The sequence below is a fragment of the Homo sapiens genome, chromosome 12, assembly GCF_000001405.40.
Source record: "Homo sapiens chromosome 12, GRCh38.p14 Primary Assembly".
NCBI classification, from domain to species: domain Eukaryota; kingdom Metazoa; phylum Chordata; class Mammalia; order Primates; family Hominidae; genus Homo; species Homo sapiens.
Genome location: NC_000012.12, coordinates 28,447,357 through 28,465,159, shown reverse-complemented (window position 1 = coordinate 28,465,159; position 17,803 = coordinate 28,447,357). Strand labels below are relative to the sequence as shown.

At 34.4% G+C, this 17,803-nt stretch overlaps 1 protein-coding gene across 37 annotated transcripts in view; it reads right to left on the bottom strand.

Moving 5' to 3' along the window:
• Window positions 1–17,803, bottom strand: part of CCDC91 (coiled-coil domain containing 91) — a 359,711-nt gene that overhangs the window by 85,007 nt on the left and 256,901 nt on the right. For all 37 annotated transcript variants that reach the window (NM_001352086.2, NM_001352079.2, XM_047429083.1 and 34 more), the window contains 3 exons: window positions 14,907–14,999; window positions 14,742–14,810; window positions 12,506–12,682 (listed from right to left, as the gene is read on the bottom strand). In NM_001352086.2, coding sequence (NP_001339015.1) covers window positions 12,506–12,682; window positions 14,742–14,810; window positions 14,907–14,999 — 339 coding nt within the window. The remainder of the gene's footprint in view (window positions 1–12,505; window positions 12,683–14,741; window positions 14,811–14,906; window positions 15,000–17,803) is intronic.

Sequence of the window (17,803 nt, the reverse complement as noted above, 5' to 3'; positions counted from 1 at the left end):
ACAATCCTTCCCACTCTTCCCTCCCCTTTCCAAAGGTAGAGGAGCCTCACCCAATGGCTACTGCACCTCAGGCCTATGTGAAGTACTGCAGACCTACAGAAAGTAATGTCAGATTACTGCTCATGAGCCCTTAAGGCCCAAGGGCTCTTCCATTAGCTTGTAGCATATGCTGCCTGGGCTGGGACTCACCCTTCAGGAAAATGAACTCCTCCTCTGGCCCAGGGCTGTTCCAGAAATGTCATCCAAGAGCCAAGTCCTAGAACTGAGGACCCTAGGGGTCTACTTGGTGCTCTACCCCACTGAGACCGAGCTAGTATCTGAGGTGCCAAAGTCCCCTTTACTTTTCCCTCTACCGTTCTCTAGCAGGAGTCTCATCCTTTAGCCACCACAGCTGGGAATGTACTGAGCCTCATCTGAAGCCAGCAAGTCTCAGAGGCTCACCCAAGGCCCTTGATATAGTAACTGGGTATTGCTGCTGGTTATTCAGGGCCCAAAGGCTCTTGAGTTGACAGGGAATAAATCCTGTCAGGACTGGGTCCTTCCTTTCAAGGCAGCAGGTTCCCTTCTGGCCTAAGATATGTCTAGAAATGTCGCCCAGGAGCTAGGGCCTGGAAAGGAGGCCTCGTGACTCTGACCAATGCTCTATCCTGCTGTGGCTGAGCTAGTATCCAAGATGCAAGACAAAGTCCTCCCTACTGTTACATCTCCTCTCCTTAAGTGGAAGGAAGGGGTCTCTTTTGGAGCTGGGAGCTGTACAACCTGGGGCTGGGGATGGGTGATGCCACACTACCTCAGCCATCCTGGCTAATGTCTCAGTAGGTTGCATGCACCGCCATTCCACTGGCTTTTGGCCTGGTTCTGTGCTAAGACTCACCTAGATATTGCAGTCCTTGTGGCCTAGACTTCTGCATTCATTTTGGGCCCCAGAGCACTTTAGCCCATGGTGGTAAGGCTTGGGGGAACTCAAGTTCCTACTGACTGCTAGGATCAGTGATTCCCCTCTGGCTAAGGCTGATTTAAATGCTCACTCAGTGGGCAGGAGTCAGGTAAGTTTGGTCTGGTTTTGCTTTCTGGTATAACAAGGGCAGCACTGAATCAATGCCTCCCAATTGCTGGTTCTCCTCCCCAGGGCAGAGAGACACTCTCTGGATGGGGAGGGGTGGTGTCAGAGATTTAAGAGTGTTTTGCCTACATCTTCAGTGTCTCTGTCAGCAATATAAAGTAAAAATCAAGTATTTGGCTCACTTGCTTCTTGGTTTTTATGAAGGTGCTTTTTCTGTGTAGAAGTTAAACTGGTGTCCGGGCAGGAAGGATGGTCAGTGAAGCCTTCTATTCCACCATCTTGCTATACTTCTTCAAAAAAAAGTTTTTTGTTCATTTATTGTTATTCTGACCAGGATTACCCCAAAATGGTCAATTTTTATTATTACCCCCAGAGACAGACATGCTGAATTATATTTATCAGAAGCAAATGTTGTCAGTCACCAAAATGTCAAGTCTTAGAGACATGTTTGGTTTCATATCCTATTTCCAGTCACCAGGTTCAGTCTTCCCCTTAAAGTGTTTATCTGTCCTTTCTTCACCTTTTCAACTGCCATCATGTGGGCTATGCTGCCCTCTTCATGCATGTCAAGTATTCCAGCAACTTCTAAAGAGTATTCTTATGTTTAGACTTTTTCTTGCTTCTGTGCATCACATTTAAGGCTGTCCAGTTCATCTTCCATAAAAAATATTTAGCTCTTGTCCTTTTTGTGCCAGTGGAGCCTCTGGTAGCATTCCATTTGTGATAATATTAAATCCGAATTTGTCTCTTTGACTTCAATGTTCTCATAATTGGCTCATGTATATTAATTCCATCTCTGTTTTATAATACTGTCCCAAAAAACATTTCGATTTGTCAAACTGATATCCACCAAACACTGTGCTCATTTCCATCTCTGTGTTTTCAACTGCCTCAACATATTGTACTTTGTAATATTTCACTCGATCTCAAATTGGAACAATTTATAAATTTGACATATTTCTGTAGTTCACTGTAATATCTTTGAAAACAATGAGAAAGTCTCATTCATACTTGTAACTTCTGTAGAAGCTACCATGTTTTCATGTATATAGTAAATACTCATGTCATGTATATAGGAAATACTGCAGTTTCCCGGACATGCCATGCTCTCTGAGCTTGGAATGATTTCTCTTCATCCTTCTCCTCTGTTTAATAAGCCTACTTCTCCTTCTTCCTGATTCAGTTTAAGTATCATCATCTCTAGGAGCCTTTCCTGAAATGCTCCAGGCTTTCTACATCACAATGTGGGTAGATCTAGTACTCCTCAAATGTGCTCATAGAATATCTTATATTTTATCACTCTCAAAGCACTCTGTAGCTCAAAATTATAATAATCAGTTTACTTGTCTATCTTACCAACTGGATATCCCTTTGAAACCACAGACTATATTTATGACATAGCATAGTCTTTATGACTAGAATACTACGATAGTATCTGGTACAAACTGCAGATGCACAGTTCATCATAATGAACATGTGGATTTGTTTCCCCAATTCAAAGAAAATCTACTTAACAGTAGAGACTACATATTACATTTCTTGTGTCTCCCAGAGCAACTTATTCTATGGGTACACACTAGATTATAGCTTCTTACAACTGTCTTAGTTTATGGCTCTCTTGCTGTCTCAGTAATTTTTTTCATGCTCCTACTAGGCCAAAAGAAATACCTAGTTGTTCCATATATTAATTAGGTAGGTGATAACTTAGCCATTTGAAAAGATAATATATAAAAATTGAAAGGAAACTATTTTTATTTCATCCTTAACTATAGTTCCCTACTCATGAGAATTTTGTACATATTAGGCATTGCACAACTTCTTAACCCTTGGAATAAGATGGGATAATAACACTCTCATGTTCTGTTCCACAATGGTTTTTGCATAGTATTTGCTTTTTATCTCAGTAACATCCAAAATGCCAGCTTCACAAAGATACAATAAAAGACAAAGAAATGTAACATAAACAAATATCGACAAGCTGGTAGTTCATCTGGTTTCAAGAACTCAAGTATTGCTGCATTACCTTCTGATTAAAAAAAAAAAACTTGCAGCATCCTTATGAATTCGTTGCAGCACCCTCTCTTGATACACAGTTTGGAAAACTACAGCATTTTGGTAATCATCAGTAACCATCTGTTTACCTGCTGCTTATTATGCATGGCACTATGTTAGATGTGAAAATTACATCAGTAAATAACATGGTAATAATAATAGTAGTAAGCAACAACGGTGGCCATCCTAGCAAGAACAACACATACTATGTTCCAGGCACTGTGCTAAGTAAATGAAATGAATTTATGCTGCCTTATTAGCAATTTAGTGGTACTGAAGATTCTGTGACCCAACAAAGATGTGTGTGAAAGACATAGAGCTAAATGAAATAGAATATAAAAAGGATTAAAATAAAAATATAAAAGTCATGCTTTACGTTTTTAGGTTAAAAGTTAACAAAATGGTCAGGTATATTATCATTCGATCCTCAGGATGATTTTGAGAGGCATGTATACCCTGAAATTTAGAAAACTTAGGCTACTTAACCAAAGTTATAAGCTTATAAAACAACAATATAAGTATTTTAAATGTATTGTAAAAGGATTTTACTGTAATTATTTCAGAAAAAAGAACTTTTTAGAATTAAATTATAAAAATGATAGATTTTTGAAATATTAGTAATTGGGTGCAAATCTGTGAAGTAGGAATTTGCCCTGCACCTATAATAATACAGGAATAGAAACAGATATCCATAGTGTAGAAAGGACAGTAGAGATTATATTCTCTAATACACACATTCTTCAACCTTCCACCCAATTCATCTTATCAATCCTGGATAAAACGATGCACATTTTGCTAGATCAACTGTGATTTCATAGTTTCAGTTTGTACAGTCATAGACCATATGATGATATTTTTGTCAATGAGGGACTGTGTATGCAACATTGGTCTCTTAAGATTATAACAGGTATTTTTACTGTTCTTTTTTTTTGTTTAGATACACACTTACCATTGTGTTACAACTGCCTATAGTACTCAGCACAGTAACATGCTGTATGGGTTTGTAGCCTAGGAGCAACAGACTATACCTAAATAACCTAAGTGTGTGGTAGGCTGTACCACCTAGGTTTCTAGAAGTACACTCTATGAGATTTGCATTACAAAATCTCCCAATGATGCATTTCTCAGAATGTATCCCCATGGTTAAGAGACCAAAAGACAGCAGTGAGCTAAAAATTTTCACCTACTTCTTCTATCTGTCCCTCTCCAGCTAAGTTAAAAAATATATATATACACACACACACACACATACAGATATATTTATATCTATATATAATATCCCTTTGATATTTTTACATGTGTATATATAGTATGCAAATATGTGAAGAATGTGGCTTTATCTTTTTTTCTTTTCAAGGCTAAACGCTTCAGTTCCTTCAATAGTATTTGACAAGGTTTCCTGCTTTGTCACAATACCACCTAACATTTGCATGATAGTTATGGTTTCTAAGCTTTTTCACCAATCTATTATCTTTCTTTTTTGTCTCGTTTCTAAGGGCCTCACAATAACTATGCAAAGCAGGTATTATTAATCCCATTTAGACATCTGAAAGTGGGCCTCATACATTTTTAAAACTTGGTCAAAATTACATGAGTCACAAGCTAGGACTCAAATCTAACCCTCTTTACTCCTTAGCACATTCATTTGACAATCAGTTAAAATTCTTTTGATCACAAGTAACAGAAAATTCAGCACAAATTGACTTGAGGGGAAAAAAAGCAGTTACAGTCTCATATGAGAGAACGTAAACGAACTTCAGAGTGGGCTCCATCTAGTACGCAAACAATGTGATCAGGAGGCAAACTTCTTCAGTTCTTAGCTCTGCCAATGATGTTGCTTCTATTTTCTCAAAAGCTCTACATATATGGTCCCAAGACAATTACTAACAGCTTTAAAGATTTCCTCATTTTCTTACTGTGAACAACAGAGTTTATATACCTGAGGAGGCAAGTCCTCAAATTGAGTCTGAAGAGCTTGGCTCAAATTATGTATGCATCCTTGGAACATGGGGATGGAAAATAATTATTAGCCTAGATCAACAAGTACCTATATGTAAATTAGAAAGTAGGTTAAATTTCCTCTAAACCACATCGCTAAAAAATAAACTATCACATTGGGAACAGAGGAATAGATGCTGAGGAGGTACAAATGAATGTCTAAGACATTCTCATTCTGATTTGGAAATGTGTCTTTTAAAACATGGTATCTTTTGAATCTACATGAATGGTATAGTTGAATGTAATGCTTCCGTTTGACCAGTGAGAGAGAGTGTACTACTTTACTATGACCTAAAAATTCTACTTGTATTCATGCAGCCATTCATCACTGTAGAGCAAATATATACTAGTCGTTCAAAGTAAACATTTTTCTGAAGCTGAAAGTAATTATCCTTGACCTCTCAGAGTATTTTCCAAGTTTTTCATTGAGTAACAATAATAAGAATCAGTTCAGTTTGGCATCCAACTGACAGTGTGATGAATACTTCTTTAAAAAGGGGATAATAACATCCGAAGCACTATTTTAAATAACTCTAATCTTGGTAAAATGTTCCAATTAAAAGCTACCAAAACTCTAAGAGCCAAATTGTGTTGTTGGAGACCCAGTTGATTTTTTAAAGATTAGTATGTCTCCTTAAAACAGTGCTGGTCCTATATATTATAATCTATTGCAGTTTGTTAATACTCAGCTCCTCCTTTCAAGGTGCTCATAATCTATTGGAGAAGACATAGAAACAGGTCTTTTTATAATAATATGGCTGAGCAGTGGTACAGTTATATACTGAATGCTCAAGAGGAGCACTTGATTTAATCTGCAGGGAGGAAATAAAAGTTTTATGGAGGGTAAAAATGAAGAATTATGAAATAAGAGTGGGTTTTGCCAGTCAGGAAGCAATGGGATTCTAGGCTGATGGTGCAGTATGAACCAAGGCCCAAGACCATAAAATAGCCCACTATGTGTACCAGCCACTTGGTTCTAAAAGCATGAAATGTGAAACAGAGCAGCAGCAGACGAGCTAGACAGGTAAAGACCAGGTCAATGAAAGATGTATATTTTATGCTAAGTAGTTTGAACTTTTATCTTATCTTTTATCTTATAGGCTACAGGGAGGCACTGGAAGAATTTAAAGTGGGAGAATGATATCCATTTTTCACTCCAAGTTGAAAAGGCACAAAACTGGAGGTAAAGAAGTCTACATAAGAGGTCAAGGTAAGCAATAAGAATATTGAGACAAAGATAACAGGTTTGAAGTAAGTGTATATGTTTAAGGATTATTTTTCAGGTAAAATGGAAAGGTTCTGATAATTAAAAAGATGTGAGGTGGGTGGATTACAAGGTCAGTAGTTTGAGACCAGTAATTTGAGTCTGGCCAATATGGTGAAACCCCATCTCTACTAAAAATACAAAAATTAGCCAGGTGTGGTGGTGTGCACCTGTAGTTGCAGCTATTCAGGAGGCTGAGGCAGAAGAATTGCTTGAAACCAGGAGGGGGAGGTTGCAGTGAGCTAAGATAGCACCCCTGCAATCCAGCCTGGGCGACAGAGTGAGACTCCATCTTAAAAAAAAAAAAAAAAAAAAAAAAAAAAAAAAGGTGTGCAAATGAGGACAAAAGGGAAAATCTAGGATGAATTCTCATTCTCTGGACTGAAAAACTTGGCAGATGTTGTATTACAGACATCTCACTGAATGACTATAACTGAAAAAAATATAATAGAAGGAAAAAAGGACTTAGATGAAAAGGTATAATTTCTCTATAGATATGATACATTTGATAATTTAAAATGTCATTATGATTTTATTATCATCTAGATTATTATCAAAGTATTGTAAATAAAAAATTTAAAATGAATGAATGAATCAAAACTAAAGAAGTCAGCACAGAAAAATTTCAGGGTTGTGAAAATAGCCTGCTAAGCTAAAATAGAAATGCTATTTCCTTTTTTAAAAGAAGGGTCAGGTGGCAGTACTAAATTTCTTAAGGAAAATTTAACCACTGATTGTAATGTCTGTGGCTTCTCGGGAAAACATAACCCCAAATTACAGTGGCTGTGGTTATAAACCATTATGAAGAGCTTCCAACGTCAGACATAGTTTGAGTGTCTGTGTGCACTGGAGTTCTTTTACAGGATTTTGCTAGAACAGCAAAATTAATGACTATCCTCTTTTTGCCTACTTTGGTGTCAATAACAAACGTCTTTTCCTTTACTTAACAAAGACTTTTAAGTGACCCAGAATTAATTTAATATGAAAATCAATAAGCCAGGGTCATAAATTTTCCTCTTATTATCTCAGAAAAAAAGTACAATTTACAATCAACACTAAGACTTAGTCTTAACTTACGATCAAGGCCAAAGGAAAACATCTCTCAAGTAAATTCTGAGAATTATCTACCACAATCCTTAGGTACTCGGTTTTCTGTCATAGTTTAACATTTATCTCCTCAGTAAATGCCAGTACTAGCAGAGAGGAAATCTGGAGGTAAATTCTAAAGCAGAAGCTGATTTTTCCCTTTTCATTTCTCAGGAATAATTGAAGTGGCTTAAGTTGCACAATGTTTTTGTGTTGCCATACTAGATCATTTCCTAATTTCTACTGTGACTTAGTAGACAAAGAAAGATATTAACTGCTATTAATTATGGTTGCTTTTTAGTTTTCTTTAAAAGAACATTTGAGTGCTGTGAAGTGACCTAAACCTTAGAATTCAAAAACGGCTTCCAAGCTTTTAAAAAGTCAGTCCCTTCAGTTAATACTCAAAACAGTTTGTAGGTCCCTGGAGAGAGGCTCTTCAGGTCTATGTATCCCAACTAGCTGCCAAACACCTAAAAGACAGAATGAGCACTGACTTCTGCATCTAGGCTGGGGCTCAGCAGAAAGTGGCAGAAGCTGTTGTTCGTAGTGGTGACCTGAGCTTCCTAGAAAGTCTGGATGAATGCCTGGCTACTCAATCATGGGTTACAGGGTGACACAGACAGCACCAATAACTTTAACACTTTCATTATTTCATCTGAAGTAAAACTGTTACGTGTGAAACTATTTACAGTTAATCTAAAGTGGCCATATTCTTTCTAGGTAGAAGATGGACACAATCCATAAAAGAATGTCATAGAACCCTATCTAGAAATTATTTCCTTTTTATTTATTTGGCTTTAAATAACAACTATATGCTTATTAATCCAAAATTTCTATCTCCAGGCCTGACAACTCCCCTGAATTCCATTTCTATATTTCTAACTGCCTACTCAACATTTCCTCTAGGCTCATGAATAAGCATCACACATTTAATACACACAAATTAGATTTTTTAACCCCATGAAACTTAACCTTTTCTCACCTCAGTAAATGAAATTACATCCAAAATCACCATCCATCCAGTCAGTTATTCTGATAGTCATTTGTTTTTTAAAAATCAGCTCTATTAAGGTATTACTTACATATAATTTTCACAAATATTAAGTGTGTAATTTGATATGTTTTGTCAAATATAAGCGCTATCACAATCAAGACATAAAACATTATCATCGCCCTCAAAAAATTCCCCTGCCCTCAGTTATTGTAACTACTGATGTGTCTTCTCTCATATCACTTTTGTCTTCCCTAGAATTTCATATAAATTGACTTATATGAAATGAAAATTTACTGAGTTTGGCTTCTTTCCTAACTATATTGTCTAAAGAAATCCCCTACAACCATTATCAGCTAAATATATAACCCCAAACTTTTTCTTCCTAGCCCACAGCACCACACGGCATGATTTGCTTATCATAGCTCTTTTCCAACTTGAATGTAAGCTCTGTGAAAGCACAGGGGCCTTGACTATCTTGCTTAATGTTGTGTGTCAGAAACGTGTAACAGTGCCAAAACATGGCAGAGGCGCCATAAATGTTACAGAATGGACAATACATAAAAATAACACCTTCTTAAAGTTTTGCCTATAGAACTTATCTATCAGTTTCCTAGGATCATTTCAAACACTAAATGATAAATGACATAAATCTGTACTTTATACTAAGATGAGAACACAGGGAGATGGAATAGAGTAGTGGCAAAATACAAGGCCTCAGGAGTTAAACTGCCTGAATTTGAATACTGACTGTTGACTCCTCTAAAAAGTCACATGGCCTAAAACAAGTTACATAATCTCTGTAAGCTTTAGTCTCCCCATCTGTAACAATGGGGATAATAATAGTACCTACTTCATAAGGTCATTGTGAGGAATTGACATAAAACATCTAAAAAAATTAGAAAAGTGCTCAGCACTTAGAATTAATGATAGTCAATGTTGTTAATTATTGCCATCTCCACCACCACCAGTTCTGCTATTATCTTACTGCTATTATTTTCTGCAGGCAAAGCTACAAAGAAAAAAAAAAACATAAAAATACCTTTTTAGCTAAACTAACTTAATATATTTGCTTAGAATAAAGGCAACTTAATGAAACTTGAACATGGGGAACTATTATTGTTTCCCTTATTGTTATCAGATAATGATCTGTCAGCTTTTGTAATGCCCTTTATTTGAGGGATTTTCCCTAAAAGAAGTAACAAGGACATTAATTATAAATGTGAAACTCAGTTAAAATCCTCCAGGGTATGTACAGAATGAAGAGGCAGTATTTCAGATTCCTATCACTAGTAGCCCAGGGGTAAAGTCTATTTATAAATTATACTTCTAGTCTTGCAACGAAACTAATTTAGGGTAATTAATTAAGCTCATGGGACTTTATACAAACCAATCTGTAGTAATATATTAGTTTTTCCAATTGGCTTTTCCTAGGAAACTAATATGATTAATTAATAAATGATATCTATAAACTTATTTGAAAATTTTGGACAACAAATACAATTAAGTCCTAAAAAGCATCTTCTGGGAAGTATACTCTTCAGGATATTTACTGCATGTTTTCTACATGCCTATTTTTCTTGTAGCTGGTATTTTACAACTAGCATAATTTTCATTTTTTTGAATGATTATAATCAGATACATTATTCATTTACTTTTTCCTTTACCTTGGGAATTTAGAAAAATATTAAAATACCAGATGATGTCAACAAGAGGTGAAACAGGAAAACCCTGGATCCTCTGTCCTTCCATGGAAACACTCAATTTACAACGACGCATGCACAAATACCCTTTGTGGGAAATCCAGAGACAAACTGAAAGGGTCCTTCACCCTGGGCAAGCATGAAACCGGCTATACTGAAACTGGTAGGAAAACTCAAGACCTAACTCTCACCACAATCCCTATCCCCAGTACAGTGCCATATGATCAAAGGAAACCCACAGCTCTCAACTTCTCTGGTGGGAAGAAAGTTGGATTACATGTCCAACCAACCTTTCTAGAAACTGCCCAGGTTACTCGCTTCTGTCTTACCTATCTCAGAGCCGTAACAGGACCTGGCATACTACTGATGCCTGGGGGCCTGTGAGAATAAAGATAGCGGCTTAAATTAACAAGCAAACAGTTGTTATAGCCTACTCTCCTGCCCAGTCCAAGAAAGATGGCAAAAAACCTCAGACTGCAGCCTCTCCCTAGGGAGGGAAAGAGCTGGACTACGTGTCCAAAGTTCGAATTTTTCCAGGGGCTCCTGGGAGACTGGCTTCTGTCTCACCTATCTGCAAGCATTGGAACACCATGTACTATAGACAGCTATGCGGTGCCAACAACAAACACAGCAGTTTGGATTAGCATAAAGGTTTGAGAGGCCCACAAAATCTCTGATTAGGTTGATTGGTGTGGGTCTTCACCAGTACAAGGCCAGTCAGTGAAGACTGTGAGAGGTAGCTGTTATTTCTAATGCATAGAAACCAACATATAGAGTCAAGAAAAATAAATAAGGAATAATGTTCCAAACAAAGAAATAAATGTCCTGAAATCCACCCAAATGATACAGAGATATATAATTTAACTTGGCAGAGACTTTCTAGCAAAACGTGCAAACATTTGTAAGGAAATTAATATAATTTATTCAAGACATGTTTAGATTGTCTTCACCATATTCTGAACCTATAGAAGACAAATTTCAAAGTAGTGTATCATATACTGCATGTTTCTTGTAGACTCTTGACAAATCAGCAGAGAAGTGTGCTCTTTAAAATATATATTTTTCCATTAGGATGACGAATATGTGCTGATTTTTTTCATGCCTTCTTACCCAATTCAAGTGATGAATGGCCCACATCTATGTGAGGTTACAGGAATGTTCGGGGTCATAAAACAAATTTAAATAAACTCTCCCGAATAAGAACTTAGCCAGTGAACTTGACCTTACTGGCATGAAATTCCAACCAACTGAAGTGACAAACATTTTATATGCAATAGGTACTCAATATATATTTATTGATAGGTTACGGTAAGAATTAGAAGGTAATATTGCTTTAGTGAAAAAACGCAAGAAAAAAAAAGATCTGCTACTGTACTACTGTTATTTTAACATAGATGGTACCTACAGATCTGTTTAATTTTTGTAATAAATGGGTAACTGTGTGTTCCTGAGAATAAACAAGTGACATCTTTTAAAAATATAACTTTTATCTTGGATATTAAAAACTTTGAGCTTTTTACGGCTTCATTAAGATTAATGAGTCATAAAAAAAATCTGGGTTGATCTGAAAGGTTAGTCATTTTAGCTGCATTTATAATGTGAATGAACAATTGTAGTATATTTAACAGTTTGAACATGTTAGACTTCTATGAATGTTATTCTTTTGCTTTTGATACTTAAGGGAAGATTTATTTAAGTACTTCTGCCTATATATATATAAAAAGACTAATTCAAGTAAAATAGAACTGTGCAAATTCAATTACAGAAAAACAAACTAAGGTAGTGTTTTTAATTGTCAGATAAACAATCAAAAGTTATTCTGCATGTAGGTCATGCCTGTTGATCATTATGTATCTTTATGAGACTATAGGGAATATTTGTGAGGTTTTATTAATTATTGTTACCAACTATAGGTATAGAGATTTACAAATTAGAATTATAAATTAATTGAATCAAATTGTTTTCTACACAAATATATTATTTTGTATTGATTGAGTCTGTGTGCATGTGTGCGTATGTGTCTCTATGTATGAGAAAAGGAAAAACAACACAGAAAGGTTAATATATTTGCAATGACTAAACATAAATTTTGTTTTGACCTTTTAGAAAATAAAGTAAAAGGGTAAAATGGTCAGTTACTAAGTTTTCAATATCAGAAAGATGAAAGCACATTAAAATATTAAAAATGATTAATTCAAAATATAAACATCAAAATGAAAATTAAAAATTAAAAAGTCATAAATATCTACTAAGGTTGTTTTAAGTAAGATAAAAGATAGAGTAAGGGTACTTCATTTTGAGAAAAATGAGAAAAAAGTAAATATTTACTAACAGTTAATATTACTAACCTGACTTATTTTTCTTTGTTCTTGTATAGCTTTTTGAATTTCCTGAGATACTTTTTCTTGATCTTTTGCATGTTCTGTCTTCCATAATTCCCTTTCTTCAGCATGCGCTTTTTCTAAATTTTTTCTTTCTTCTTCTACGACTTTTAAAACTGCATCCTTCACTGCTTCTTTTTCAAGCTTCAAAATAAATAAAGACCAGAACAAATTTGAAAGACTGCATAATAATTTCTTGAGTAACAGACTTGGTTAACCTAAAAGATAAAAAACTTTGATCCTATAGTGTTTAGTTCTAACATTGCTGTTTTTATGCATAGTAAATAACTGCTACAAAATAAAATCTATTATTCTTTTTTATACAAATATTCCTACTTAATTTCCATGGCATTTCTAATCTTCAAAGAAATCAGGCCTTAGGGTGGAGTAGCAGATTTCAAACTATATGGTCTAAAGATCCCTTTACAATCTTAAAATTATTGAGGATATCAAAGAGATTTTGTTTATGTTGATCATATGTATTAATACATATTAGAAATTCAAGAAAAAATAAAATTATTAATTCATTTAAAATTAATATAATTGCATGATATTAACAAATAATATATTTTATGAAAAACTACTTTCTAAAATTAAAAAAGGAAAATGCTACTGTATGTGTCTGTAAATCTCTTTAATATCTGACTTAACAGAAGACAGCTAAATTAATTCTTATTTCTTCCTTCTGTGTTAAATCTGTAATGATGTTTTTTAGTTGAAGTATATAAAGAAAACCCAGTCTCACACAGATAGGTTGTAGGAAAAACTGAGTATTTAGTAGCCAGTTTAAATAATTGTGGATATTCTTGATGATTTCACATCAGAACTTGACAAGGACTAGTTCTTAAAGGTTAGGTGTCATAATGAAAATAAAATTATGTCAAATGAAATTTTCATGCTATTATATTACAGTCCTTTCTTGCAATCTGAATGAATCATTTATCGATGCATAATTTTTAACATTTTTATGTGAAAAATATTGATTCACTGAGTTACATGTCTTCTCCAGATGCTGACACATTTCTGTATATCATAATTTAAAAATCACATTTGTTAATGTTACCATAAATCTCATCAGGAACATACATATTGGAAAACAGATACGAGTTTTCTAAAATTTGACTTTTTGCTTTAAATCACCTCAAACTCTATTCCAAAGAAAGAGGGCTACTTTCCATTTTGTTCTTAAATCCATACTCTAGCAGTATACAACTTGTCCACCTTCTATATTATTCACATCAAACATATATGTTGACTCCATCTTCTCCATATTTCTAGAATTTGTCTATTTCTTTCCTTTCCAAACTACTACTACTGGTCTGTTTCTACCACTCAGTATCTCTTAGACAGACTTTTGATGCATTCTATGAATTCTTTCCCTGCCTCTAGCTTTTGTTGCCTCTACTTTCCCAAAACTTAATGTCAATTACCATTAGATCACAAACATGTTTTTAAAATGTCAATATGTCTCCCTTATCCTATGGAATAAAATTCAAACTCTGTTCAGAATGCTAGCCATCCTTTCAGGCTCAATTCAAAAGTAATTTATTGCTTTAAAAAAACTTCTATGACATAGATATATGATGTACATACTCATAATAATTTAGTGCATTCCTCCTTGCCCTCTTGGTATATAAATAGTATTTTTCTTATCTGATTATAAATTATTTAAGAAAAAGACAAAATCATAGTCACCCTTGAATTTAACCCTGGCATAGTGATACACAGATATGAGACATTCAATATTTGTTTGCTAAATTTAATTTTAAATCTAAAACTCAAAAGTAAGTGTTAAAAGTGTATTTGTTGGTGTGTGTATATTTTATATCTATGAATACATGATTTAGATGAGTTATTTTAAACTTGGCTTTAAAAATTACTTACCTTGATACACAGATGCACACACAACCTCTAATTAGATGCAACAAATAGCAGGTGGATATTAGTGTTGCAACATATATGTTCTTTATAATAAGTAACTAATAACCTACATTGTAAAGCATTTCAATGCTACCATTATCTTGTGTGATGTGAATTTAATAAGAATATAAGTAGTCATATCTTAAGTTTAAAAGTAAATAAAAGAAATAAAAACGATTTTTATGGAATGAAACATTTTATAAAAGATTGAGAATACTATTAATATATTCCATTTTTTAATTCCACTTACTTACAAGCAACCCACTATTACAGATGGAAATACCTTTGCAGCGGATACTAATGCCTCTTTATTTCTTTGCCTTTCTTCCTCCAAACACTTTTCCAATATTTCCTGTCAAATGATAAAACAGTTGGAAAGACATTAAATGTATTATTTGAGGTAACAGAACACATTCTTTCTACACTCTGAGCACAGTTAAAGTATTACCTTCTGTTCTTGAGATTGCTGAATCAAAGCTTCCTTTATTTTTTCTTTTAACAGTTCCTTCTCTGTATCTAGCATTTCAAGGAGCCTCTGATGCTACAAGGAATGATAAGCAAATTATATTATGGCTCTGAGACAGGTATCTGTCAACAAGGAGAGTAGCTGGTAGAATTCATTTGTCCAGAAAATTGAAGTAGTTACAAAAGGAAAAAATGAGAATTTCCCTAAAACGAAGGTTCAGGAGAAAAAAACACTAAATTCATCTTTCTACAATCAGCCAAGATACATTTCTTAGCCCCAAGTTCAACAGAGTATATGACAAGAAATCTAACTTAAGAACAACTACTCAAAATTGAAAAATTAATCAGAAAATGATGTATTTTCCAAGATTAAATTTCGAAAAATTACTCACTAAAATGATTATTATTAGCTTGCAGCAACAGAAGCAATGAAGCAATTAGATGATAACTGAGAAATATAAAATATCTGCTTGATGAACAACTATCATCATAGATTATTTGTGTTCCTAGTAAGGCATTGTTAAAAAAAATTGAAAGATTTATTAATTGTTGTCACCTCAAGATTTTACCACAGATTCAAAAACTAAATCTATGAAATGAGTCCAAGAAATATTATGTAACAGGTAATATAAATGTGTATAAAGTTAATGTATCTATTTTTATTTTGATGTGCTACAGAAAAAGCTCACATAACTATCAACCAGTTACCATGGACCAAGCACTTGATGTTTCAATAGACCTTTCTGAGAATATTCAACTTTTGCAGCCTCAGTATCTCCAATAACGATGAGGCAAATACTGTTCCAGAACAGTGCACTGATGTGGAAACAAAACTAAAAAATATGTATTGCTACTCATATATTTTTCATTCAGTTATTAAAGGCAAGTAAGATATTTTCTCAGATTTGGAATGCTATTTATATCCAAGCCTCCTTTAAATATAAACTCATTGGATATCCAATATTTTAAAATAGATTTGTGTCTTTTAAAGTTGTTCTTATTTAAAACATTTTTAGGGAGACAGTCTATATTGAGAGTAAGTGACCAAACAGTCCATGTCTACTTAAGATAATCTGTTATTCCTGCTTTTAATTATGTTACTTTTCATCTGTGTTTTTCAAGAGAGTAAGTAAAATCACATGAAAGATGTGTTTTTCCTTAAAAACAAATCCAAACTGTGATACAAATCATTACATGACTCTGAGAAATTATGGGTACTATATGAAATTATGTAAGGCAGCTAATTAACAAATGAGTAGACTTACCACATAATTAACGTATAAGTATTAATAACTGAGATTTTAATTTTATATTCTCTGTAAATCTAGATGCACGCAGAATTTCATAGGATCAGAAACAATACCTAACCCTATTTGAAATATACATATGAGAAAATATACAAAGATATTATACCAGGCAAATAATTAGACTTAAAAACTGTATGAGACCAAAAATATTCAATTTAGGCTTGGGAAGAGGTAAACATAACACAAATAAAACAAAAATGTTTAGAATTAAAATACAGAATAAAATTTTTGGAGTTATTAATAACTTAGAAAACAAATGTTCCTTAAAAAGAACTGGTAATGTTAGAAGTCAAACTAATAGAAATCACTAAGTAATTCATTATAAGTGGGCTAAATTTCCTAAGTGGTCCAATAAAAACTAAATTTGAAGAGGGTACATTAGCTAAAATGACAATGTGATGTTTATAAAATTCATTCCTGAATGTCATTTCTTAATTCTGACAGTATCCTACAACAGAAGACAATTTTTGAGCTTGTTTGTGTAAGAACAAACCTGAAATTTACTGTTTGAAAGAAGCATCCTACATAAAATATATCCTAAGTAAAATCACAGATTCACTTGAGAAAATACAACTGGGTTACTGGCTTTTCTCATACTTATAGATAATAATAGCACTTTTGAGGTTCCAGGCACTGTTGAAAGTGCTTTATATGTAGTAGTACCACATTAAACTCTCACAACAAACTGCCGAATTCTTCCACATTCTTCTTATTTTCAGATGAGTCAGCTGAGACTTAGAGAGGCTAGGTAAGTTACTAGGTCTTTATTTCAACAATAATCCTACCCTATATAATCATTATCGGTAGTAGTAATTATCTAATACTAAAAGCAGCCCAGTACATTATACCTCATTATTACCTATAGTAATTAAAAGCTACATAATGTAATCCGTATGTCAAGTAAGGCCTCATTGCCATTTGGCTGTAACAGAATAAGAGTAATCTATGCTTCCGATTTTGTCATTTCAGACTACTACTATTATTAAAATAAGATGTTTCCTGAACAAATTGCAATTGGTATTAGGACAAATGATTCAGAAAGATACTTAATGGCAAGGGGAAAATTTCCCCTCCCCTCCCCTCCCCTCCCCTTCCCTCCCCTCCCCTCCCTTCCCCTCCCTCCCCTCCCCTCCCCTCCCCTCCCCTGCCCTGCCCTGCCCTTCCCTTCCCTCCCCTCCCCTCCCCTGCCCTGCCCTGCCCTGCCCTGCCCTGCCCTTCCCATTCTTCTTTATTCATTCCTTCCTTCCTTCCTTCATCCTCTATGTTGCCCAGACTGGACTTGAACTCCTGGCTTCATGTGATCCTCCCACCTTAGCTTCCCAAAGTGCTGGGATTACAGGATGAGCCGCCGTGCCCAGCCAAAATTTAGATCTTAAAATTAAACATAGATAATTTGTAAAGCAAACAAATAATTCACAAGAGGCTATTCAAAACCCATGTGTTTCAATACAATGTATTTTGATTTTTGTAAGACTGATATATGCTCATTATAAAAAATATAAAGAAGTGAAAATATCCCAGTGTCCCATTACCCAAAGAAAATCACTGATAACACTTAGGCAAACATCCTTCT